Source organism: Homo sapiens, chromosome Y (genome assembly GCF_000001405.40).
Source record: "Homo sapiens chromosome Y, GRCh38.p14 Primary Assembly".
NCBI lineage: Eukaryota > Metazoa > Chordata > Mammalia > Primates > Hominidae > Homo > Homo sapiens.
The window spans coordinates 1512103-1538088 of record NC_000024.10 but is presented as its reverse complement, the minus strand read 5'-3'; the positions used below and the strand labels follow the sequence as shown (position 1 = coordinate 1538088).

The window sequence follows — 25986 nt, the reverse complement described above, 5'->3', positions numbered from 1 at the left end:
ACCTCCCAGGTTCAAGTGATTCTCCTGCCTCAGCCTCCCCAGTAGCTGGGACTACAGGTGTCCACCACCACACCCAGCTAATTTTTGTGTTTTTAGTAGGGACGGGATTTCGCCATGTTGGCCAGGCTGGTCTCAAACTCCTGACCTGAAGTGATCCACCCGCCTTGGCCTCCCAAAGTGCTGGGACTACAGGCGTGAGCCACCACACCCAGCCTGGCTTGAGGGATTGATTCTACCATGTCTTTTCCCTGAGCAGTGGTTCAATATTCATTCATTCTTTCTCAGTGACAGATCCTTCCCTCTCAACCTCCTCCCACGAGTGACAAGAACCAACCGTTGCTCCTCACAAGCAAGGATACCAGAGCTCGGAAACCTGGTTCTCATTCCTGAAACTGGCCGATCCCCCATGGGATGTTGAGGATATGAGCCTGCAGCGCCCGTGACCAACTGTGAGAGCCGGAATGATCAGTGCCCAAGGTCTGTTCGCTTGTCACAGTCTGGCTGTGTACCAAGAGATGTCGCAATGAGCACAGCTTTAGAGTCTAAAAGGAAACGTGTTCTGTTCTTTCTTTGTTTTGTTTTGTTATTTCAGAAGAAACAGGAATCGGTTCTGGAGCATGCCACGGCTCTTCACTGCTGGTTACAAAATTTAGAAAAATCATTCTCCCTCTTTTCCTCACTCTCAGGGTTCTCTTAAGAGTAGGGCCCCCTGCGAGCCAGTGATAGGGAGGTGGGCGGTTAACGGTGCTGCCCAGAGACACAGCGACGTTACTCCAGTGGGCTCAGCCCTGCACATGAGTGTTCAGACAGTTACAGAGGAAATGTCACAACACACTTCCTTTCCACCTAAGCCTGAGTCGCAACCGTGGTGGTGCGCTGGGAGGTGGAGTTTGCAGAATTTGCATTCGGAGACAGTCGTGCCAGCCGGTGGGCCACCCAGCGAAGCGGCCGCCTTTGCAAGGTTGCTGGACAGATGGAACTGGAAGGGCAGCCGTCTGCCGCCCACGAACACCTTCTCAAGCACTTTGAGTGACCACGGCTTGCAAGCTGGTGGCTGGCCCCCCGAGTCCCGGGCTCTGAGGCACGGCCGTCGACTTAAGCGTTGCATCCTGTTACCTGGAGACCCTCTGAGCTCTCACCTGCTACTTCTGCCGCTGCTTCTGCACAGGTGAGCCGCCGAGCTGGACTTTTATGCTTGTCCTGCACTGTCAAGGGAGAAGACAGGGTCGCTGGGAGGGTCCGTGTACGGTGAGAACATGGGGGAAGACGGTGCAAACTCCATGAGGCGTGTTCTCCTCACGCTAGAGCAGACCAGGAGTGCAAATTTCCTGGGAGGAAGACTTTGCACAGCCGCTTCGTCACTTAGGGGAGAAATGCTCAAATTTTCCAGGGCTGCAAGCCACCCTTCCTTTAATAACTCATTCCATGAACTTTCAGAGGCCGAGGTGGGCGGATCACGAGGTCAGGAGTTCGAGACCATCCTGGCTAACACGGTGAAACCCCGTCTCTACTAAAAATACAAAAATTAGCCAGGCGTGGTGGCAGGTGCCTGTAATCCCAGCACTTTGGGGGACCGAGGTGGGTGGATCATCTGAGGTCAGGAGTTCGAGACCATCCTGGCTAACACGGTGAAACCCCGTCTCTACTAAAAATACAAAAATTAGCTGGGCTTGGTGGTGGGCGCCTGCGGTCCCAGCTACTCGGGAGGCTGAGGCAGGAGAATGGCATGATCCCTGGAGGTGGAGCTTGCAGTGAGCAGAGATCACGCCACTGCACTCCAGCCTGGGCGACAGAGCGAGACTCTGTTTAGAAAAAAAAAAACAAAAAAAAACTCATTCCATGAAATGCGCCTCTCTTGAGGTTAACCTTAGAGAGGGTAAGCAGCTGCGGCTGCTGCACGTAACCCATTTACGCCTGAGATTGCAGTTTTTTCAATGTTTGCAATGAGACCTTGGCGATGACCTTGAGCCGTGGGATATAAATAACTCCCAAATGCTTAGCGTTCCAATAATGGAAGAGTAAGCATAAATTAAACGGGTTTTAAAGCCCTATGGGTGCCTGGATGAGCACGGTGGCCCCTCGTCACCCCCTCGGTGCCAGGGAGACCCCAGACCCGGGTCTCACGGCCACCTCAGACCTCATTTGTACAGGTCCGCTTAGAAACCCCAATTCCTTGGGTCTTGTCAGATCTGTCCCCTAAAAAGCTGAGAAAAGGCAGAGGGAGCTGCTCTGGGAATTTCAGGCCACACACAACAAGGCCTGCTGTGGCGCTTTAGGTCCCATTTCTATAAAGGGGAACCATGGTCACGTGGCTCTGTTCCCAAAAAGAAAAGGGTTTGTGTGTGTGTGTGTGTGTGTGTCTGTGTGTGTGTCTGTGTGTGTGTGTGTGTGTGTGGTTGTTTCTTCCCATGTTGTTATCTTTACGTAACGTGGATGAGAAGTCTGAAGCGCGAGAGCCCTAAGTGAAAACCGCTGAGGAGCTGAAGCCCGTGGGGAAGCAGGTGCACCTGACTGCGCCGTTCAATCTCTCCTTCCCGTTCCGTTCCTCCTTGCATAGCCCACTTGACTTTGGCAAGCAGCGCCAGATAGTAGCATATTTTGTGTTTACGGCGGTGACAGACGCCTGTAATCCCAGCACTTTGGGAGGCCGAGGTGGGTGGATCACTTGAGGTCAGGGGTTTGAGACCAGCCTGGCCAACATAGTGAAACCCCGTCTCTACTAAAAATACCAAAATTAGCCGAGTGTGGCGGCGGGCACCTGTCATCCCAGTTACTCGGCACGCTAAGGCAGCAGAATCACTTGAACCCAGGAGGCGGAGGTTGCGGTGAGCCAAGATCGCGCCACTGCACTCCAGCCTGGGTGACAGAGTGAGACTCTGTCTCAAAAAAAAAAAAAAAAAAAAAGGAATTATCCCACATTGGAAAAGCAGTACTTTCATTTAGGCACTGCCAGACAGGTGCCAGCGTCCTACGTGCACCAGGATGCTGCCCCTTTTCCCAAATATTGGCCTCCCCCACCCCACAAGAGGACAATTAGGTCAGAGGCTGAGAGAGGCGTGCATGGGACGTACGGGACGGTGGGCAACCCTGTGTTTGTAAAAGCACATGCTTTTCAGATGCCTTCTGCCAGGTCCCCGCCTGGCTGCACCATTCAGACTGACCAACCTTGGGGTGGGTGGGAGAGGTGAGGTCCCCTTGGAGAACCACAGAGACGCTCCCTCCCTCCAACCCTACCCACACTGCAGTTCTGAGTTTGTCCCTTAAAGTTCCAGGGAAGAAGCGATGGCTTAGGATTAACAACAGCAGGGTAGCTGTTGCCAGTGGTGCATACGTACAGCCCTGCGCTTGGAGAGGCCCTTTCCCCGGGCAGATGGCCCCCTCTCGTCTGAGTCTCTCTCCTGCGCCCTCTCCTTCAGCCCTGCCTCTCCATCAGGACCTCCTCATTGGCTGTGTCTGGGCATGGTCCCCAACCTCCCTCCCCCAGCCCCTCTTCTGTCCCTAGAGGCAGTGGGGTGGGCGGGGCAGGGTCCAGGGATCCCAGTGTCCACCTGGAACCCTGCTCTTCCTCTCTCGGGTTAGGAGATTCTGCACGGCCCCTGGGAGACACACAACACCCTGCCTACACCTGTTAAGGTACGGAAAGGGCGTGGGCGTGATGGGTGCCCCCAGGATCACCCCCAAGGACCAGACTGAGCTCAGGGGACTGCAGGGAGTGTTCTGCGGTTCACAATGTCGCTCCCTAGTGATGCAGTATCTGTGTTCACTTAGGATAAAGCAACAGATACACCTATCTGTGTGTGTGTATATATATATGTATTACATATATAATTATATAAATAATTATATATAAATAATATATAATATATAAATAGTAAGTATATAAATATATATGTAAATATATATAAATATATAATATATGTAAATATATTGTATATAAATATATATGTAAATATATATAAATATATAATATATGTAAATATATTATATATAAATATATATGTAAATATATTATATATAAATAATATACAAATATATATGTAAATAATAAATAGATAAGTATATAATATATGTAAATATGTAATATATAAATAATATATAAATATATAATATATTTAAGTTATAAATATATAACTATGTAATATGTAAATAATAAATAATATATGAATATATAATATATTTAAATAATACATATATAAGTATATAATATATAAATAATAAATAATATATAAATACATAATATATTTAAATAAATATAAGTATATAATATATAAATAATAAATAATATATGAATATATAGTATATTTAAATAATAAATATATAAGTATATAATATATAAATAATAAATAATATATGAATAATATATTTAAATAATGAATATATAAGTATATAATATATAAATAATATATAAATATAAAATATATTTAAATAATAAATATGTAAATAATAAATATGTAAATAATAATATATAAATATATAATATATTTAAATAATAAATATATAAGTATATAATATATTTAAATAATAAATATATAAGTATATAATATATAAATAATAAATAAAATATAAATATACAATACATTTAAATAATAAATATATAAGTATATAAGATATAAAGAATAAATAATATATAAATATACAATATATTTAAATAATAAATATATAAATATATAATATATAAATAATAAAAAATACATAAATATATGTTTAAATAATAAATATGTAAATATGTAATATATGAATATATATATATTATTTTTGGCAATCTCTTTTATTTGCCTCAAGAAAGCACACTCCTCAGAAGATTTTTTCAGAAGCTGATGTGTGTTTTTGTTGGTTTGTTTTACACTTTTTACTTCCATAGGTTTTGGGGAAACACGTGCCATTTGGTTACACGAGGAAGTTCTTTAGTGGTGATGTGTGAGATTTCAGGGTATCCGTCACCCAAGCAGTATACACTGAACCCGGTTTGTGGCCTTTTATCCCTCATCCTCTCCCCAATCTTTGCCCTGGAGTTCCCAAAGTCCTTTGTGTCATTCCTTTTTTTTTCTTTTTTCTTTCTTTCGTTTTTTTTTTTTTTTTTTTTTTTGAGACAGAGTTTCACTCTGTTGCCCAGGCTGGAGAGCAGTGGCGCGATCTCGGCTCACTGCAACCTCCTTCTCCCGGATTCAAGCGATTCTCCTGCCTCAGCCTCCTCCTGAGTAACTGGGATTACACGCATGTGCCACCACACCCGGTTAATTTTTGTATTTTTAGTAGAGACGGGGTTTCACCATATTGGCCAGGCTGGTCTCAAACTCCTGACCTTGTGATCTGCCCACCTCGACCTCCCAAAGTGCTGGGATGACAGGTGTGAGCCACCGCATCCGGCCGTTGTGGCATTCTTATGCCTTTGCATCCTCATAGCTTAGCTCTCACTTATGAGTGAGAACATACGATGTTTGGGTTTCCATTCCTGAGTTACTTCACTTAGAATAATAGTCTCCAATCTCATCCAGGCCACTCCAAATGCTATTCTTTTTCATGACTGAGTAGTATTCCATCATAAGTATATGTATATATATATACACATCATATACATCTATACATATATGTGTATATATACACATATACATCTATACATATATGTGTATATATACACATATACATATATACATATATGTGTATATATACACATCATATACATATATACATATATGTGCATATACACACATCATATACGTATATGTGTATATATACACATCATATACATATATGTGTATATATACGTGTGTGTATATATATGGCACACATATATATGACATATATGTGTGTGTGTTTGTGTGTGTGTCAGTGCCGGCATTTATATATATAAATACACCACAGTTTCTTTATCCACCTGTTGATTGATGGGCATTTGGGTTGGTTCCACATTTTTGCAATTGCAAATTGTGCTGCTATAAACATGCCTGTGCAAGTATCTTTTTCGTATAATGAGTTACTTTCCTCTAAGTATCTTTTTCATATAATGAGTTACTTTCCTCTACCTAGATACCCAGCAGTGGGATTGCTGGATCAAATGGTAGTTCTACATTTAGCTCTTTAAGGACTCTCCACACTGTCTTCTATAGTGGCTGTACTAGTTTACGTTCCCACCAGCAGTGCAGACGTGTTCCCTGTTCGCCACATCCACACTAGCATTTGCTATTTCTTGATGTTTTGATTGTGGCCATTCTTGCAGGAGTGAGGTGATGTCACATTCTGCTTTTGATTTGCATTTCCCTGATCATTCGTGATGTTGAGCGTGTTTTCATGCCGCTGAGCCGGGCTGGGACCTTGAGGACTGCGTTGATGCTTTTGTGCAGAGTGCCCTGCTCCAGGGGAAAGGTGCTGGTGCCCTGAGCAGAGGGACTTTGTGGAAGCAGGATGTGTGATTTTCTAGCCAAGAAGGTCTCCATGGGAGGGAGGAGTCCTATGAGACTCTCCATGGCTGGGCAGGGAGTGGCACAGACAGAAGCAGGTGGCAGGTGCCAGGCTGTGTTGGTTTCGGATGATGAGTTGGTGGAATGGCAATGTGCTGTCCAGGCTCCCCAGGAGTTCATGAGCTGGGGGTGGGCTGAGCATGCTAACCCCTCGGGCTGGGCACAGTCAGGCTGGGAGGGGGCCTGGACATTGTTTACGGGGGACCCTGTAAGCAGGGGGACCCCTGATGGAGAGGGCATGCAGGAAGATGGGGCAAGGACAGATCTTGGGATAGAACCATTCATGAGACACAAAAGGCACAGGCTGTCTGCTGGAGCACTAGTGACATTTGGGGCGGGGGAATTCCCTGTGGTGGGGCCATCCTGGGGATTGTAGGGTGTAGAGCAGCGTCCCTGGGCTCCAGCCACAAGGTGCCAGGAGCACCCACAGTTGTGACAATCAGAAATGTCTCCAGATATTACTCAATGTCTCCAGGTAGCAAAATCACTTGCTCATCTATCACTGTCTTAAAGATAGATGGGTGACAAATTAGATAGATAGATAGATAGATAGATAGATAGACAGACAGACAGACAGATAGATAGAATCGATAAATAGATACATAGAATAGATAGATATATACATACATACATAAATTAGATAGGTACATACATACATACATACATGGATAAATAGATTAGATAGATAGATACATAGATACATGCATAGATTAGATAGATAGATGATAGATTAAAGAGATATATAGATAGATGAGAGATAGAATAGACAATACATACATAGATATAGATAGATAATGGTGATGATAGACAGATAGATATATAGATAATAGAGATAGATAGAAAAGATACATACGTAAATTAGATAGATATATACATACATAGATTAGATAGATACATACATACATGGATAAATAGATTAGATAGATAGATATATAGATGCATAGATTAAATAGATGATAGATTAGAGAGATACATAGATAGATGAGAGATAGATAGATAGGATAGATAGATACACACATACATATAGATAGATAATGGTGATGATAGAGAGATAGATCAATCAGATAGATAGATACATAGATAGAATAGATACATACATATGTACGTACATAAATTAGATACATATATACATACATACATAGATTAGATAGGTAGATACATACATACATACATGGATAAATAGATTAGATAGATAGATACATAGATACATACATAGGTGCATTAATAGATTAGAGAGATAGATGATAGATTAGAGAGATACCTAGATAGATGAGCAATAGATAAGATAGATAGATATGTACATACATATAGATAGATGACAGATAGATAGATAGATAGATAGATAGATAGATAGATAGATAATGGTGATGATAGGTAATAGAGATAGATAGATACATACATAGATACATGGATACATAGATAGATAGATAGATAGATAGATAGATAGATAGATAGATAGATAGATAGATAGATCATACATACATACATACATACATACATACATAGATGCATAGATACATAGATACATGGATACATAGATGGATGACGGAGAGAGAGAGAGAGAGGAGAGATTCTCTATACTAAAAGCAGGATCTTTCCACGTCAACACTATAGACATTTGGGGCCGGGTGATTCTCTGTGGTGGGGCCATCCTGTGCAGTGTAAGGTATTGAGAAGCATCCCCGGGATCCACCCACCAGATGCCAGGAGCACCCCCACAGTTGCGACAACCAGAACTGTCCTCAGACATTACCCAGTGTGCCGTGATGAGAAAAATCACCCCTAGTTGAAACCACTGTCAAATGGTAGGCAGATAAATGATAGAGATGAGAGATAAATGCTAGAAAGGTATAGATAGATGACAGACAGAGAAGATTAATAAATAAATAGATATAGGTGCCAGAGAGCTAGATATGATATATAGATAAATTGATAAATGATAGATATGATAGATAGATATAGATGGATAGATAGTCACTAACAGAGACTCTCTCATGCTCAGGCAGGGTGTCAGCCTCAGCACTGCTGCCATGTAGGGCTGGAGGATTCTCTGTGTTGAGCCTATCCTGTGCACTGCAGGGCACTGAGCATCTTCCCAGGCTCCACCCACCACGCCCCAGGAGTACACCCTCCAGTTGTGACACCCCAAACTGCCCAAGATATAGACAAGCATCCCCACTGGAACAGAATCTCCCGCAATTCTGAACCACAGGGTGAGAGGCAGGCAAGATAAGACAAGATGATCCTTCCAGAGACCTGGAAGGAGAAGCAAGATCATGTCCCATCCCCCAGGTCTCAGGGAGAGAATGGGCTGGGTCAAGGGACTCTGGATCACTTCCTTCCATTTCTCCATCTCCCAATGTGCTGTATGCATGCTCTTGTTACTATAATAAAGTAAGTAGAATTGAAGAGACTCTGTCGTTACAAGCCACACATGTGTAGATTAAGCAGATATTCCCTGTGCAGGTCAGGTCTCAGGGGAAATGGAGGATTTATTCTCCACCTTTCCAAGACCAAGGGCCCCGCTGTGTGTACGTGTTATTCTCATCAAACATGCTTATCTGCCCGAGGACTAAATGCTGGCTTCCACATGTGACATTTTTACTTGCAAAACTGGATCAATGGGGAGCGTCATTTATACTGTCCCATGCAACAAAGGGAACTGAAAAAGTGCAGGAATGAGGAGACTCAAATCCACGCACATTCAGAGACTCCAATCCACACTCAAAGAGACTCAAATCCAACTCATTCAAAGAGACTCAAGTCCACACTCATTCAAAGAGACTCAAATCCACACTCATTCAAAGAGACTCAAACCCACACGCAATCAAAGAGACTCAAATCCATACTCATTCAAACAGACTCAAGTCCACTCATTCAGAGACTCAAACCTACACGAATTCAAAGAGACTCAAATCCACACTCATTCAAAGAGACTCAAGTCCACAATCATTCAAAGAGGCTCAAACCCACACGCATTCAAAGAGACTCAAATCCACACTCATTCAAAGAAACTCAAATCCACACTCATTCAAAGAGACTCAAATCCACACTCAATCCAAAGACCAGAGCCAGCCTCTTGGAAGCACTTGCTCCTCCGGGCTTCCCTGGGACGTTTAAAGTGGTTTTGAAGATGTCGTATGAGGATGAATGCAAGACTTTGAGTTCACACGGTGCTGACTGGCAGCGCCTGCTGCTCAGAGCTGTGATGGCCTCCTCAAGGGGCAGTTGTGCAGCAGTAGCTCTGATGGAATCTCCAGGAACCCACTCTCCAGCAAGGAGCCCTGTCACATGCATACCTGCATGAGCCTCTCAGCCAGTGGTTGAAATGGGCATGTTGCAGACAGCCTCTCTGTGAGATGCAATAGATGAAACCTGAGGCTCAGTGAAGCTGGAGGCCTCCCAGGCACTAGCTGCTCAGTGAAGGCGCTGTTGTCCATCTACAGTGTCCATATGTCCATCACAAGCTCTTGGCATGAACACAGGAAACTTCTAGGATACTCAGGCTATTACCCTGGGGTTGGAGGCATTCTGTCTCCAGGTATTTATTTATCACTCATCTGTTCTTGGGGTGGAGGAGAATGAGACTACTCCTGCACTCAGGACAGGGACAGACCAGCAGGTGGCCACACGTGGAATAGAAACAGGAGATACCCCTTCAGTCTCAGCCACAGGGAATGAATGAGCAGGGTCCCTGTAGGGGCTGTGACTTTGTAGATGAGAGACCAGAATAGATTAACATGGCCTCAGTACTGTTTGTTGGATGGTTGAATGGATGGCTGCATAAATAGATGGGTGAATGAATAAATGAATGAATGAGTGAATGAGTGGATTAGTACATTAGTGAGTGGATGGATGGATATGTAGACAGGTGAATGAAGAGTGGATGAATGGATGAATGGATGGATGGATGGATGGATGGATAGATGAGTAAATGGATAAGGAATGAATGAGTGGATGAATGAATGAATGAAGGGATGATTGGATGGATGAATGAATGAGTAGATGAATGAATAAATGGATGGATGGATGAACAGATGGATAGATAGGTGGATGAATAAGGAATAAATGATTGAATGAATAGATACATGAATGGGTGAATGATAGTGGGTGTATTGATAAATGGGTGGATGACTGAATGGATGGATTGAAGGATGAACGGATGGATGGATGAGTGGATGGATAAGGAATAAATGAATGAATGAATAGATAAATGAATGAGTGAATGAATGGATCATGAATAAATGAATGGGCAAATGAATAGTGGATGTATGGATAAGTGGATGGATAAACGGATGGATGGATGGATGGATAGATGAGTGGATGGATAAGGAATGAATAAGTGGATGAATGAATGAATGAGTAGATGAATGAATAAATAGATGGACGGATGAACAGATGGATAGGTAGGTGGATGGATAAGAAATGAATGAATAGGCTGGGCGCGGTGGCTCACGCCTGTAATCCCAGCACTTTGGGAGTCTGAGGTAGGCGGATCACCTGAGGTCAGGAATTTAAGACCAGCCTGGCCAGCGTGGTGAAACCCCGTCTCTACTAAAAAATACAAAAATTAGCCAGGCGTGGTAGTGGGCGCCTGTAATCCCAGCTACTTGGGAGGCTGAGGCAGGAGAATCCCTTGAACCCGGGAGGCAGATGTTGCAATGAGCCAAGATCGAGCTGTTGCACATCAGCCTGGGCAACAGGAGTGAAACTCGGTCTCAAAAAGAAAAGAAAAGAAAAGAAATGAATGAATAGATGAATAAATGATTTAGTGAATAAATAGATGCTGAATGAATGCGTGGGTAAATGAATGAGTGAATTCATCGATGCATGAATAAACACATGGATAAATGAATTAATGGATGGATGAGTAAGTAAATGGATGAATGAATGAGTAGATGGCTGTATAGATGGATAGATGGATGAATTGGATGGATGGATGGATGGATGAATGCTGAATAAGTGGATGGATAAGGAATGAATGAGTGGATAAATGAGTGGATGCATAAATGAATTACTGAATAAATGGGTGAATGATTAAAGGCATAAATGAATGAATGGATGAATGAGTGAGTTTTGGATGGATGAGTGGTGGATGCATCCATCCATCCATGCATGGATGACTGAATGGATGGATGGATGGATAAATGGATGGATGGATGAGTGGCTGGATAAGGAATAAATGAGCGAATGAATGAATGAATGAATGAATGGATGCATGAATAAATGAATGGGTGAGTGAATAGTGGGTGTATTGATAAATGGATGGATGACTGAGTAGATGGATGGATGGATGAATGAATGGATGGGTGGATGAGCGGCTGGATAAGGAATGAATGAATGAGTGAATGAATGGATGCATGAAAGAATGGGTGAATGAATAGTGGATGTATGGATAAATGGATGGATGGATGAACAGATGGATGGATGAGTGGATGGATAAGGAATGAATGAGTGGATGAATGAATGAATGAATGAGTGAACGAATGGATTCATGAATAAATGAATGGGTGTCTGAATAGTGGGTGTATTGATAAATGGATGGATGACTGAGTAGATGGATGGATGGATGAATAGATGGATGGATGAGCGGCTGGATAAGGAATGAATGAATAAATGAATGAGTGAGTGAATGGATGCATGAATAAATGAATGGGTGAGTGAATAGTGGGTGTATTGATAAGTGGATGGATGACTGAATGGATGGATGGATGGATGAATGGAAGGATGGATGAGTGGATGGATAAGGAATAAATGAATGAATGAATAGATGAATGAGTGAATGAATGGATGCATGAATAAATGAATGGGCGAATGAATAGTGGATGTATGGATAAATGGATGGATGGATGGATGGACAGATGGATGGATGAGTGGATGGATAAGGAATGAGTGAGTGGATGAATGAACCGATGGATAAATGAATGAGTGAATGAATGGATGCATGAATACATACATGGATAAATGAATTCATGGGTGGATGGATGGATGAATGGATGAATGGATGGATGCATGATTGAGTCAATAGGTGAATAGACGGATGAAACAAGAAAGGAGCTGATTTCCAGTCAATTGCCCCGAATTAATGCATACTGTTTCTGAGGCTTTGGGGAGAATCTTTCCTGCGTCTCTCCAGCTTCTGATCCTCTGCCATCCTTGACGTCCCTGGGCTTGGGAATGCCTCCCTCCAATCTCTGCCTCTGTCTTCACACAGCAATCTTCCCTCTGTGCATGTCTGCGTCCCAGTCTCTTCTTAGAAGGACCCCAGTCCCATAGGATTAAGTCCCCACCCAAATGCAGTATGATGTCATCCTAACTTACACCTTAATCCCATCTGCAAAGATCCTATTTCCAAATAAGGTCCTATATTCACAGGTACCTATGTTGAGGCTTTGAATGTGTCTTTCAAAGGGATGCAATCCAACTCAAAACACTCTCCAAACAAATTCTTCACAAAACACTGAGCTCCTTGGCCTAATCAGAGGAGGAGAGAGGATTTATTGCACCAATAGGGATTTTGGGGGGTCCCCACTCAAACCCTCTGCACTGCTGTGGAGCACAACTCCCTGCAAGGTGACAGACCCTGGCTACAGGACTATGAGAGGGTGAAGAAGCTGCCCCCACCCTGAGACCACCTTCTTGAGCAGCTGAATGGACACAGACCCTCACTGTAGACAGGTGAATGAATGAGTGGATGGATGGGTGGGTGGATGGATGGATGGATGGATGGATGGATGGATAGATGGATGGATGGATGAGTGGATGGTTGAATGGATGAGTGGATGGATGGATGGATGGATGGATGGATGGATGGATGGATGGATGAGTGGATGGATGAATGGATGAGTGGATGGATGGATGGATGGATGGATGGATGGATGGATGGATGCATGGATGTATGGATGGATGGATGAATGGATGAGTGGATGGATGGATGGATGGATGGATGGATGGATGGATGAATGGATGGATGGATGGATGGATGTATGGATGGATGGATGGATGAATGGATGGATGGATGGATAGATGGATGAATGGATGGATGGATGGATGGATGGATGGATGGATGGATGCATGCATGGATGGATGGATGGATGGATGAATGGATGGATGGATGGATGGATGGATGCGTGGATGTATGGATGGATGAGTGGATGAATGGATGGATGGATGGATGGATAGATGGATGAATGGATGGATGGATGGATGGATGGATGGATGCATGCATGGATGGAGGGATGGATGGATGGATGGATGAGTGGATGGATGGATGGATGGATGAATGGATGGATGCATGGATGGATGAGGAATGAATGAGCGGATGAATGAGTGAATAAAGGGATGAGTGGATCCGCAGAAGAGAGGGGGGTAAGCAGCTGGCAAGTGTGACAAGCCTACTGTGTACAAAGGGACATTCTCAATGCTCCCCCCACACCATCAAACTCTTGAAACAACCCTGAGTACAAGACCCAATTCTACCCCATCGCTACATTGCAGATGAGAAAATCAAACAGGAACGGGGTTACGGGGAGACGTGTAGACACTCCAATGCCAAAAAACTCAGTCACCAAAATAAATACTGCTGTTTTATTTGTTTTAATTTATTGAGGTGAAATTCACATAACAAAATTCACCATCTTTGCCGGGCACAGTGGCTCATGCCTGTAATCCCAGCTCTTTGGGAGGCCAAGGCAGGTGGGTCACTTGAGGTCAGGAGTTCCAGACCAGCCTGGCCAACAGGGTTTTTTAGTGAAATCCTGTCTCTACTAAAAATACAAAATTAGCCGGGCGTGGTGGTGCGGCACCTATAATCCCAGCTACTGGGGAGGCTGAGGCAGGAGAATCGCTTGAACCCGGGAGGCGGAAGTTGTGATGAACACAGATCGTGCCACTGCACTCCAGGCTGGACGACAGAGGGAGGCTCCGTCTCAAGAAATAAATAATAATAATAATAAATTTACCATCTTCAATACAACGCAGTGGTATTTAGCTCGTTCAGAGTGTTGTACAATCATCACCTCTGTGTACTTCCAATACATTTTTATGACGCTCAGAAGGAGACCTGTACCTATTTGCAATCGCTCCCACTTCTCCCTTCCCTCCTCCCTCTGGCAATCACAAATCTGCAATATTTTTCAGCCTAAATGGGAAGAAAGTATTGATACCGCTACAATATGGATGAACCTCAAAAATTCTATGCTAAATGCAAGAATTGTGAAACTCAGAGAATATTGGGGACCAGGGAGATGATTAGGGACCAAGGAGACGATTAGGTACCAGGGAGAATATTGGGGAACAGGGAAGATTTTAGGGACTAAAGTGACACCCTTTGAGAAAGCTCTGCTGACATCCCCATTTTGCTTAGGGGAAACTGAGGGACACAGAAAGGAAGGCACACCCTCACCTGGCTGGGGCATTACCTCCAACTGCACCAGCCACAAAGGTCACACCCTTAACTGCTACTCCAAACTATTTGCTATATCTTTTTTTTATTTTTTTCAATTTTTGTTTTATTTATTTATTTATTTATTTATTTATTTATTTATTTATTTTTGGCAGTGGGGGATGGAGTCTCTCTCTGTCGCCCAGGCTGGAGTGCAGTAGTGCAATCTCGGCTTTCTGCAACCTCTGCCTCCCGGGTTCAAGTGACTCTCCTGCCTCAGCCTCCCGAGTAGCTGGGATTATAGGCATGTGGCACCATGCCCAGCTAATGTTTGTATTTTTAGTAGAGATGGGGTTTCGCCATATTGGACAGGCTGGTCTCGAACTCTTGACCTCGAGTGATCCGCCTGTCTTAGCCTCCCAAAGTGCTGCGATAACAGGTGTGAGCCACCACGCCCGGCCTTAATTTTTATTTTTAGGGGCAGAGTCTTGCTCTGTTGCCCAGGCTGGAGTGCAGTGACTTCATCATAGCTCACTGCAGCCTCTAACTCCTGGCCTCAAGCAATCCTTCCACCTCAGCCTCCCAAGTAGCTGGGATTACAGGCACTGACCACGCCCGGCTAATGAAAGTGTCTTGCTATGTTGCCTAGGCTCATCTTGAACTCCTGGCCTGAAGCCACTCTCCTGCCTTGGCCTCCCAAGGTGCTGGGACTAGAGGCATGAGACAACGTGCCTGGCCAGTGTACTATAATTATCGCATCTTGGTTGTTGAATCTCTGTGCGTGCACGACGATTCCGAGCCTTGTCATCTGAGGATTGCATTTAAAGTTACAATACACACGTGTGTGGGAGGTGAGGAAAATATTCTGAAACTACATCGAGGTATTGGCTGCACGGAGGCATGAATGCAATAAATCCCCCTGAGGTATTCCGTTTACAATGATTGATTTCATTATGTAAACCTCACCTTTTTTTTTTTAAGCGAGAAAAAGAGGGCGGGGCATGGTGGCTCACGCCTGTCATCCCAGCACTTTGGGAGGTTGAGGCGGGTGGATCACCTGAGGTCAGGGGTTCGAGACTAGCCTGGCTAACATGGTGAAACCCCCGTCTCTACTAAAAATACAAAAAATTAGCTGGGCATGGTGGTGCATGCCTGTAATCCCAGCTACTCGGGAGGCTGAGGCAGGAGAATCACCTGAACCCGGGAGGCGGAGGTTGCGGTGAGCCGAGATCGCACCATTGCACTCCAGCCTGGGCAGCAAGAGCAAAACTCCATCTCAAAAAAAAAAAAAAAAAAAAAAAAAGAGAGCGAGAGAGAAAGAGAAAGACATAAGAAAAAATAACCATGCAATACCCCTTGTCTCACTTCCTCATTCTGGGCTATAAACACTCTTCGCGGGACCCTTTTCGGGCTGCACAGGAATTAGGAGGTTGTCCGTCACGCTCACCGGAAGCAAAGGAAGGGGAGTTTCTGAAACCTCCACCAAATACCACCAAATACCCAGCTGAGGTGCGGCTGACTGGCTTCCTTCACCCCATGCAACTCACTTCTAAGTAAACACACCTTCCTTTGCCGTTTCTAAGCACTCATGCAAATGACTGACGGTCCACATTCCTGCAGGCAGGGTCCAAGTGAATTGACTTCCTGCAGACAAATGCAGAGTGTCCTCCGGCCTGTGACTTTGATGCCAAGGTTCCTGCTGATGCCAGGGTGACAGTGGTTGCAAGCCGTGTTCCATGCTGGGTACTCAATGATCTTAGGGTTTGTCCATACTGGGACGGATTAAAGTGGAGCATAAGGATTACAGTGGACCATAAGAGAGGGGTGATGGATCAGAGAGAATATTGGGGACCAGAGATATTATTGGGGACAGAGAGAATATTAGAAATCAGAGAGGATAAAGGCCGGGCGCGGTGGCTCATGCCTGTAATCCCAGCACTTTGGGAGGCCAAGGCGGGCGGATGACGAGGTCAGGAGATGGAGACCATCCTGGCCAATATAGTGAAACTCCGTCTCTACTAAAATACAAAAATTAGCTGGACGTGGTGGAGCATGCCTGTAAACCCAGCTCTGTAATCCCAGCTACTCAGGAGGCTAAGGCAGGAGAATCCCTTGAACCAGAGAGTTGGAGGCTGCAGTGAGCTCAGATCGCACCGCTGCAGTCCAGCCTGGCGACAGTGTGAGACTCTGTCTCAAAAAAAAAAAAAAAAAAAGAAAAGAAAAATCAGAGAGGATATTGGGGAGCAGGGTGATGATTGGGGGCCAAGGAGATGATTGGGGGCCAAAGAGGTGATTGGGGACCAGGAAGATAATTAGGTACCAAGGAGATGATTGGGGATCAAGGAGATTATTGGGGACAAGGGAAATTATTGGGAACCAGGGACATTTGGGGGTACTATGGAGATTATTGGGGACCAGAGACAATATTAGAAATCAGAGAAAATATTGAGGATGAGGGAGATTATTGGGGATCAGGGAGATTATTGGGAGACAAGAAGATGATTGAGGACCAGAGATAATATTAGAAATCAGACAGAATATTGGAGACCAGGGAGATTATTAGAGAACAAAGAGATGACTGAGGATCAGAGAGAATATTGGGATCAGAGAGATTATTGGGGATCAGGGAGAGGATTGGGGACCAGAGAAATTATTAGGGACCAATGAGATAATTGAGGATCGGAGATAATATTGGGGATCAGAGAGATTATTGGGGATCAGAGAGATGATTGGGGACCAGAGAGAATATTGGGGATCAGGGAGATTATTAGAGGCTAAGAAGATGATTGGGGACCAGAGAGAATATTGGGGACCAGAGAGATTATTAGAGACCGAGGAGATGATTGGGGATCAGAGAGAATACTTGGGACCAGAGATAATGTTGGAAACCAGGGACATTATTGGGGTTAAGAAGATGATTGAGGACTAGAGACAATATTAGAGATCAGAGAGAATATTGGAGACCAAGCAGATGACTGGGGACCAGAGAGAATATTGGGATCAGAGAGATTATTGGGGATCAGAAAGATGATTGGGGACCAGACAGATTATTAGGGACCAAGGACATAATTGAGGAGCACAGAGAATATTGGGGACCACAGAGATTATTGGGGGTCAGAAAGATGATTAGGGACCAGAGATTATTAGGGACCAAGGTGATAATTGGAGATCAGAGAGAATATTGGGGACCAGAGAGATTATTGGGGACCAGAGAGAGATGATTGAGGACCAGAGAGATTATTAGGGACCAAGGTGATAATTGGAGATCAGAGAAAATATTGGGGACCAGAGAGATTATTGGGGACCAGAGAGATGATTGGGGACCAGAGAGACTATTGGGAACCAGGGAGATTTTTGGGGACCAGAGAGATTATTAGAGATCAAGAAGATGATGGGGATCAGGGAGATTATTAGGGACCAAGTATATGATTGGGGATCCGAGAAAATATTGGGAACTAGGGAGATTTGGGGGAGATCAGAGACAATATTAGAAATCAGAGAAAATCTTGGGGACCAGGGAGATGATTGGTAACCAGAGAGATGATTAGGGACCAAGGGGATGATTGTGGATCAGAGAGAATATTGGGGAACAGAGATAATATTAGAAACCAGGGAGGTGATTGGGAGCCAAGAAGATAATTGGGGATTAGAGACAATATTAGAAATTGGAGAGAATATTGGAGACCAAGGAGATGACTGGGGACCAGAGAGAATATTGGGACCAGAGAGATTACTGGGAATCAGAAAGATGATTGGGGACCAGAGAGATTATTGGGAACCAGAGAGAATATTGGGATCAGAGATATTATTGGAGATCAGAGAGAATATTGGGGAGCAGGGAGATTATTGGGGACCAGAGAGAATATTGGGGACCAGAGAGAATATTGGAATCAGAAAGATGATTGGAGACCAGAGAGATTATTAGGGACCAAGGAGATAATTGGAGATCGGAGAGAATATTGGGGAGCAGGGAGATTATTAGGGACCAGAGAGATTATTGGGGACAAGAGAGAACATTGAGACTCAGAGAGAATATTGAGGCTCAGAGAGAATATTGAGATCTCAGAGATTACTGGGGATCAGGGAGGTGATTGGGGACCAGAGAGATTATTAGGGACCAAGGAGATGATTGGGGATCAGAGAGAATATTGGGGAGCCGAAAGATTATTGGGGACCAGAGGAATATTGGGGATCAGAAATATTACTGGGGACCAGAGAGATTAGGGACCAAGGAGATGATTGGGGACCACAGAGAATATTGGGGATCTGAGAAAATACTGAGGACCAGGGAGATTACTGGGGGCAGGAAGATTATTGGGGGCCAAGGAGATGATTGGGGATCAGGAAGATTATTGCAGACCAGATAAAATATTGGGGCTTAATGGAAGTATTGGAAATTAGACAGGCTTTGGGAGTTAGGCAGGATTTGGGGGACTAGAAAGATTTTGGGGAACCAGAAAGAATACTGGAGACTGGAAAGATTATTGTGAACCACAGAGAATATTGAGGATTAGAGAGAATATTGGCGGCCAGGGAGAACCAAACAGATTTGAGGGGACTGGAGAGATTTTAGGGAACCAGAGAGAAGATTGGGGACAAACAAGATGATCAGGGCCCAGCAAGGATATTGAGGATCAGGGAGACCATTGGGCCCAGCAAGAATATTAAAGACCAGAAAGATTTTGGGGAAACAGACAGGTTTTGGGGGACTAGGGAGCTTTTGGGGAATCAGAGAATATTACAGACCAGAGAGATTATTATTTTTTATTATATATATTAAATATTTAATATTTTATTATATTATTATTATTTTTTTTTTTTTGAGACGGAGTCTCGCTCTGTCACCCACGCTGGAGTGCAGTGGCACAGTCTCAGCTCACTGCAAGCTCCGCCTCCTGGGTTCACGCCATTCTCCTGCCTCAGCCTCCCGAGTAGCTGGGATTGCAGGCACCTGCCACCATGCCTGGCTAATTTTTGTATTTTTAGTAGAGACGGGGTTTCACCATGTTGGCCAGGATGGTCTCGAACTCCTGACCTCAGGTGATCCACCCATCTCAGCCTCCCAAAGTGCTGAGATGACGGGCGTGAGCCACCGCGCCCGGCCAAGATTATTTTTATTTATTTTTTTATTTTTTTTTGAGATGGAGTTTCGCTGTTGTTGCCCAGGCTGGAGTGCAGTGACAAAATCTCGGCTCACTGCAACCTCCGCCTCCCAGGTTCAAGCAATTCTCCCGCCTCAGCCTCCTGAGTAGCTGGGATTACAGGTGCGCACCACCACGCCCAGCTAATTTTTGTATTTTTAGTAGAGATGGGGTTTCACCATGTTGGCCAGGCTGGTCTCGAACTCCTGACCTCAGGTGGTCTGCCCACCTCAGCCTCTTAAAGCGCTGGAATGACAGGCGTGAGCCACCGCGTGTGGCCGAGAGATTACTAAGAACCAGAAAATATTGAGGACCAGGGAGAATATTGGGGGCCAGATATTACTGGAAACCAGAGACACGTGTGAAGATTGAACTTCCCTTAAATCTTCTGAGACCTCGCTTGGGTCTGAGCATGCTTCCTGTTAACATTACCTGGCCCCACAGGCTCAGGCAGAAGGACCCTGACACCAGGCTTCTTCTCTGCCGGAGCTCAACAGACTCACTCACTGCAGATCCTCTTTTCCCACTGAAATTAGTTTCCATTTTGCTCAGAGCCCTCAGATGACTTCCTTAATACCTTCCAGTTCATCCTGAGACTCTGGAGGGTGGAACAGCAGTCTAAGGCCATGTACTGGGGACTGCCCACAAGGCACACAGAGGCGGACAAGGTTGGGGGTGTTTGTGGGATGGGGCGGGGGCCCAAGCTGAAGGCTGAGGTGGTTTAAAAGCCAGACCTTGATTCTCCTGGAGGCTGGACATCAGGTGTGGACAGGGCTGGTTCCTCCTGAGGCCTCTCTCCTGGGCTTGTAGATGCTGTCTCCTCCCTGTGTCCTCACGGGGTCGTCCCTCTCTGTGTGTCTGTGCCCTCATCTCCTCCTCTTATGAGATGTCTTAGTCCATCTCAGGCTGCTACCACAGAATACCATAGACTGGGTGGCTTAGAAACAAGAGACATTGATTCTCCCACAGCCCTGGAGGCTGGAAATCCAAGATTAAGGTGTGGGCAGGGGTGGTTCCTCCTAAGGCTTGTCTCTTTGGCTTGTAGATGCTGTTTTCTCCCTGTGTCCTCACAGAGTCGTCCATCTGTGTGTGTCTGTGTCCTCATCTCCTCTTCTTATGAGGTGTCTTAGTCCACTTCAGGCTGCTAACACAGAATACCATAGACTGCGTGGCTTATACACAACAGACATTGATTGTCCCACAGCCCTGGAGGCTGGAAGTCTGAGATCAGCGAACGGGCAGGGCTGGTTCCTCCTGAGGACTCTCTCCTTGGCTTGTAGATGACGTCTTCCCCCTGTGTCCTCACAGGGTCGCCCCTCTGTGTGTGTCTGTGTCCTCATCTCCTCTTCTTATGAGATGTTCTCGTCCATTTCAGGCTGCTATCACAGAATACCATAGACTGCGTGACTTATACACAACAAACGTTGATTCTCCCACAATCCTGGAGCTGGAGGTCTGAGATCCAGGTGTAGGCAGGGCTGGTTCCTCCTGAGGCCTCTCTCCTGGACTTGGAGACGCCATCTTCTCCCTGTGTCCTCACAGGATCATCCCTCTGTGTGTGTCTGTGTCCTCATCTCCTCTTCTTATGAGATCTCTTAGTCCATTTCAGGCTGCTATCACAGAACACCATAGACTGGGCGGCTTAGAAACGACAGACATTGATTCTCCCACAGTCCTGGAGGCTGGAAGTCTGAGATCCAGGTGTGGGCAGGGCTGGTTCCTCCTGAGGCCTCTCTCCTGGGCTTGTAGACACCGTCTTCTCCCTGTGTCCCCACAGGGTTGTTCTCTGTGCTTATATTTGTGGGAGAGGGGTGAAGAAGGGAGGAATGGAGGGAGGGAGAGAAGGAGGGAGTACGTGGATGCTCTGCGGTCTCTTCCTGTTTTTTTTTTGTTGTTGTTTTGTTTTTCTGAGGTGGAGTTTCACTCTTTTTGCCCAGGCTGGAGTGCAGTGGTGCAACCTCCGCTCACTGCAACCTCCGCCTCCCAGGTTCAAGCGATTCTCCTGCCTCAGCCTCCCAAGTAGGTGGGATTACAGGTGCCTGCCACCGCGCCTGGCTAATTTTTAGTATTTTTTTTTTTTTTTTTTAGTAGAGACAGGGTTTCACCATATTGGCCAGGCTGGTCTCGAACTCCTGACCTCAGGTGATCCACCACCCCCCGACCCCTCGGCCTCCCAAAGTGCTGGGATTACAGGCATGAGCCCCCATGCCTGGCCCTCTTCCTGTTCTTATAAGGAAATTTGTCTCATCATGGAGCATCTCTGCTGTAAACTCATCCCACCCTAATCTCCCCCAGAGCTCTCACCTCCTGACAGCATACTGAGGTTTAGGGTTGAAACCTATATATTTTGGGGTGATATAAACCTTCAGACAATAGCAGTGAGTAAGAGCCAGAGGGTATAGGATTTCTTTTTGGGGTGATGAAAATATCCTAAATGGCTGGGTACAGTGGCTGATGCCTGTAATCCCAGCACTTTGGGAGGCCGAGGCGGGTGGATCACGTGAGGTCAGGAGTTCGAGACCAGCCTGGGCAACATGGAGAAATCCCATCTCTTCTAAAAATACAAAATTAGCCGGGTGTGATGGCGGGCACCTGTAGTCCCAGCTACTCGGGAAGCTGAGGCAGGGGAATCGCTTGAACCTGGGAGGCGGAGGTTGCGGTGAGCAGAGATTGTGCCATTGCACTCCAGCCTGGGCAACAAGAGCAAAACTGTCTCAAAAAAAAAAAAAAGAAAGAAAGAAAATATCCTAAAATAGACTGCGGAGGTGTTTGCACAACTTAACGTTCTAAACCCAATGAACTGTAGATGGGTGAATTGCATGCTGTAGGAATTCTATCTCTACAAAGTTGTTTTTATCTTTAAAAAATAATAATAATAAAAGAAAAGAAAAAGGCAGGTTGGGCGCGGTGGCTGATGCCTGTAATCCCAGCACTTTGGGAGGCCGAGGTGGGTGGATTGTTTGAGGTTAGGAGTTCGAGACCAGCCTGGGCAACATATGGTGAAACCCCATCTCTACTAAAAATACAAAAATTAGCTGGGTGTGGTGGTGGGTGCCTGTAATCCCAGCTACTCTACTCGGGAGGCTGAGGCAGGAGAATTGCTTGAACCAGGGAGGCTGAGGTTACAGTGAGCTGAGGTAGTGTCACCGCACTTCAGCCAGGACAGCAGAGCAAGTCTCTGTCAAAGGGAAGGGAAGGGGAGGGGAGGGGAAGGGGAGGGGAGAGGAAGACAGGGGAAGGGGAGGGGGAGGGGGAGGGAAAGGGAAAGGGAAGGAAAGGGAAAGGGAAGGAAAGGAAAGGAAGGGAAGGGAAGGAAAAGGAAGGGAGGGGAGGAAAGGAAAGGGAAGGGAAGGGAAGGAAGGGAAGGAAGGGAAGGAAGGGAAGGGAAGGGAAGGAAGGGAAGGAAGGGAAGGAAGGGAAGGGAAGGGAAAGGAAGGGAAGGGAAGGGAGGGGAGGAAAGGGAAGGGAAGGGAAAGGAAAAGGAAGGGAAGGGAGGGGAGGAAAGGGAAGGGAAGGGAAAGGAAAAGGAAGGGAAGGGAGGGAAGGGAAGGGAAGAGAAGGGAAAGGAAGGGAAGGGAAGGGAGGGGAGGAAAGGGAAGGGAAGGGAGGGAAGGGAAAGGAAAAGGAAAAGGAAAGGAAAAGGAGGGGAAGGGAGGGAAGGGAAGGGAAGAGAAGGGAAAGGAAGGGAAGGGAAGGGAGGGGAGGAAAGGGAAGGGAAGGGAGGGAAGGGAAAGGAAAAGGAAAAGGAAAATAAAAGGGAAGGGAAGGAAAGGAAAGAAATGGAAAGGAAAGGAAAAGGAAAGGAAAGGGGCGGGTGTCCATACCAAGCACAGAACCCAGCTGTGGTAGGCAGAGAGAAGAGCCAGCCTGAGCAGACATCAAGATTAAACAGAATTGTACTTACCTGTGCAGGTGTTGGATGTGGGGAGATAATCCATCTTGGTTTGCCCTGGATTTATAAGGTATTTTCAGGACACAAGAACCTCAGGGCTAAAAGTGGGACAATTAAAGGAAAACGGGCACAAGTTGTTAACGCTATGTGTAGTGGGTTCAATGGTGCGTACCTGCAAAAGATAGGACCATGCCCTAACCCCCTGGAACCTGGAAACAGGACTTTGTTTGCTGAAAAAGTCTTTGAAGATGTGATTTAAGGGTTTGGGATGAGATCATCCTGGATTAGGGTGGGCCCAAAATCCAATGACAGGTTCACTTCTGAGAGACAGAAGAGGAGACACAGACACAGAGGAGGAGGCCATGGGGAGACAGAGGCAGAGACTGGAGTGATGGGGCCACAAGCCCAGGGACGCCTGGAGCCCCCAGGAGCTGGGAGAGGCAGGAGGGATCCTCCCTTAGAGCCTCCCAGAAGGAACTGGATACAATTGTAGTGGATTGAATAGTGGCCACCAGAAACATTTGTCCATATCCTAATGCTCAGAGTCTGTAAGACCTTATTTGGAAATAGGGTCTTTGCAGATGTCATTAAGTTAAGGACCTTGAGATTGGATCATTCTGGATTAGAGTGGGCCCAAAATGCAATGACAGCTGTCCTTGTAAGAGACAGAAGAGGAGACACAGACACAGAGGAGAAGGCCACGTGGAGACAGAGGCAGACACTGGAGTGATGCGGCCACAAGCCCAGGGATGCCTGGAGCCCCCAGGAGCTTGGAGAGGCAGGAGGGATCCTCCCCTAGAGCCTCCACAGGGAGGATGGTTGATATGGTTTGACTATATCCCCACCCAAATCTCACCTGGAATTGTAATAATCTTCACGGGTCTATGTTTATTGCAGCACTATTTACAATAGCAAAGACTTGGGACCAATCCAAATGCCCATCAATGATAGACTGGATAAAAAAAAAAGTGGCACATAGACACCATGGAATACTATGCAGTCATAAAAAAGGATGAGTTCATATCCTTTGCAGGGACGTGGATAAAGCCAGAAAGTCACTCTCAGCAAACTAACACAAGAACAGAAAATGAAATGCCGCATGTTCTCACTCATAAGTGGGAGTTGAACAATGAGAACACACAGACACAGGGAGGGGAACATCACACACCGGGGCCTGTTGGGGGGTGGGGGGGCAAGGGGAGGGAGAGCATTAGGACAAATACCCAATGCATGTGGGGCTTAAAACCTAGATAATGGGTTGACAGGTGCAGCAAACCACCATGGCATACGGATACCTATGCAACAAACCTGCAGGTTCTGCACATGTATCTCACAACTTAAAGTAAAATTAAATAATAATAATAATAATAATAATAATTTCCACATGTGAAGGGCAGGACCAGGCAGAGATAATTGAACTTTATGGGCAGTTTTCTCCCATACTGTTCCTGTGAGAGTAAATAAGTCTCAGGAGATCTGATGGTTTTATAAAGGGGACTTTCCCCTTTTCTCTTGCTTGCCACCATGTAAGACATGACTTTGCTCCTCCTTTGCCTTCCGCCATGATTGCGAGGTCTCCCTAGCCATGTGGAACTGTGAGTCCATTAAACCTCTTTCCTTTATAAATTACCCAGTCTTGGGTATGTCTCTTTTTTTTTTTTTTTTTTTGAGACGGAGTCTCACTCTGTTGCCCAGGCTGGAGTGCAATGGCATGATCTCAGCCCACTGCAACCTCCACCTCCCAGGTTCAAGCGATTCTCCTGCTTCAGCCTCCCGAGTAGCTGGGATGACAGGTACCCACCACCACGCCTGGCTAATTTTTGTGTTTTTAGTAGAGATGGGGTTTCACCATGTTGGCCAGGATGGTCTCAAACGCCTGACCTCAGGTGATCCACCCACCTCGGCCTCCCAGTGCGCTGGGATTACAGGCTTGAGCCACTGCGCCCAGCCAGGTATGTCTTTATTAGCAGCGTGAGAACAGACTAATACCGTGGGCCTGCCTGCACCTTAATCTCAGACTCTTCACCTCCAGGACTGGGAGATGATGAATTTCTGTTGTTTAAGTACCCCCAGTGTGGGGTCATTGTTTGCTATATCCCCAGGACACTCTTA

The 25986-nt window shown here is 45.6% G+C and overlaps 1 protein-coding gene across 6 annotated transcripts in view; it reads left to right on the top strand.

The window, feature by feature from the left end:
* P2RY8 (P2Y receptor family member 8) overlaps positions 904-25986 on the top strand; it is a 74605-nt gene continuing 49522 nt past the window's right edge. For all 6 annotated transcript variants that reach the window (NM_178129.5, NM_001424186.1, NM_001424188.1 and 3 more), the window contains exon 1: positions 904-1168. The gene's annotated coding sequence lies outside the window, so the exon portion shown is untranslated. The remainder of the gene's footprint in view (positions 1169-25986) is intronic.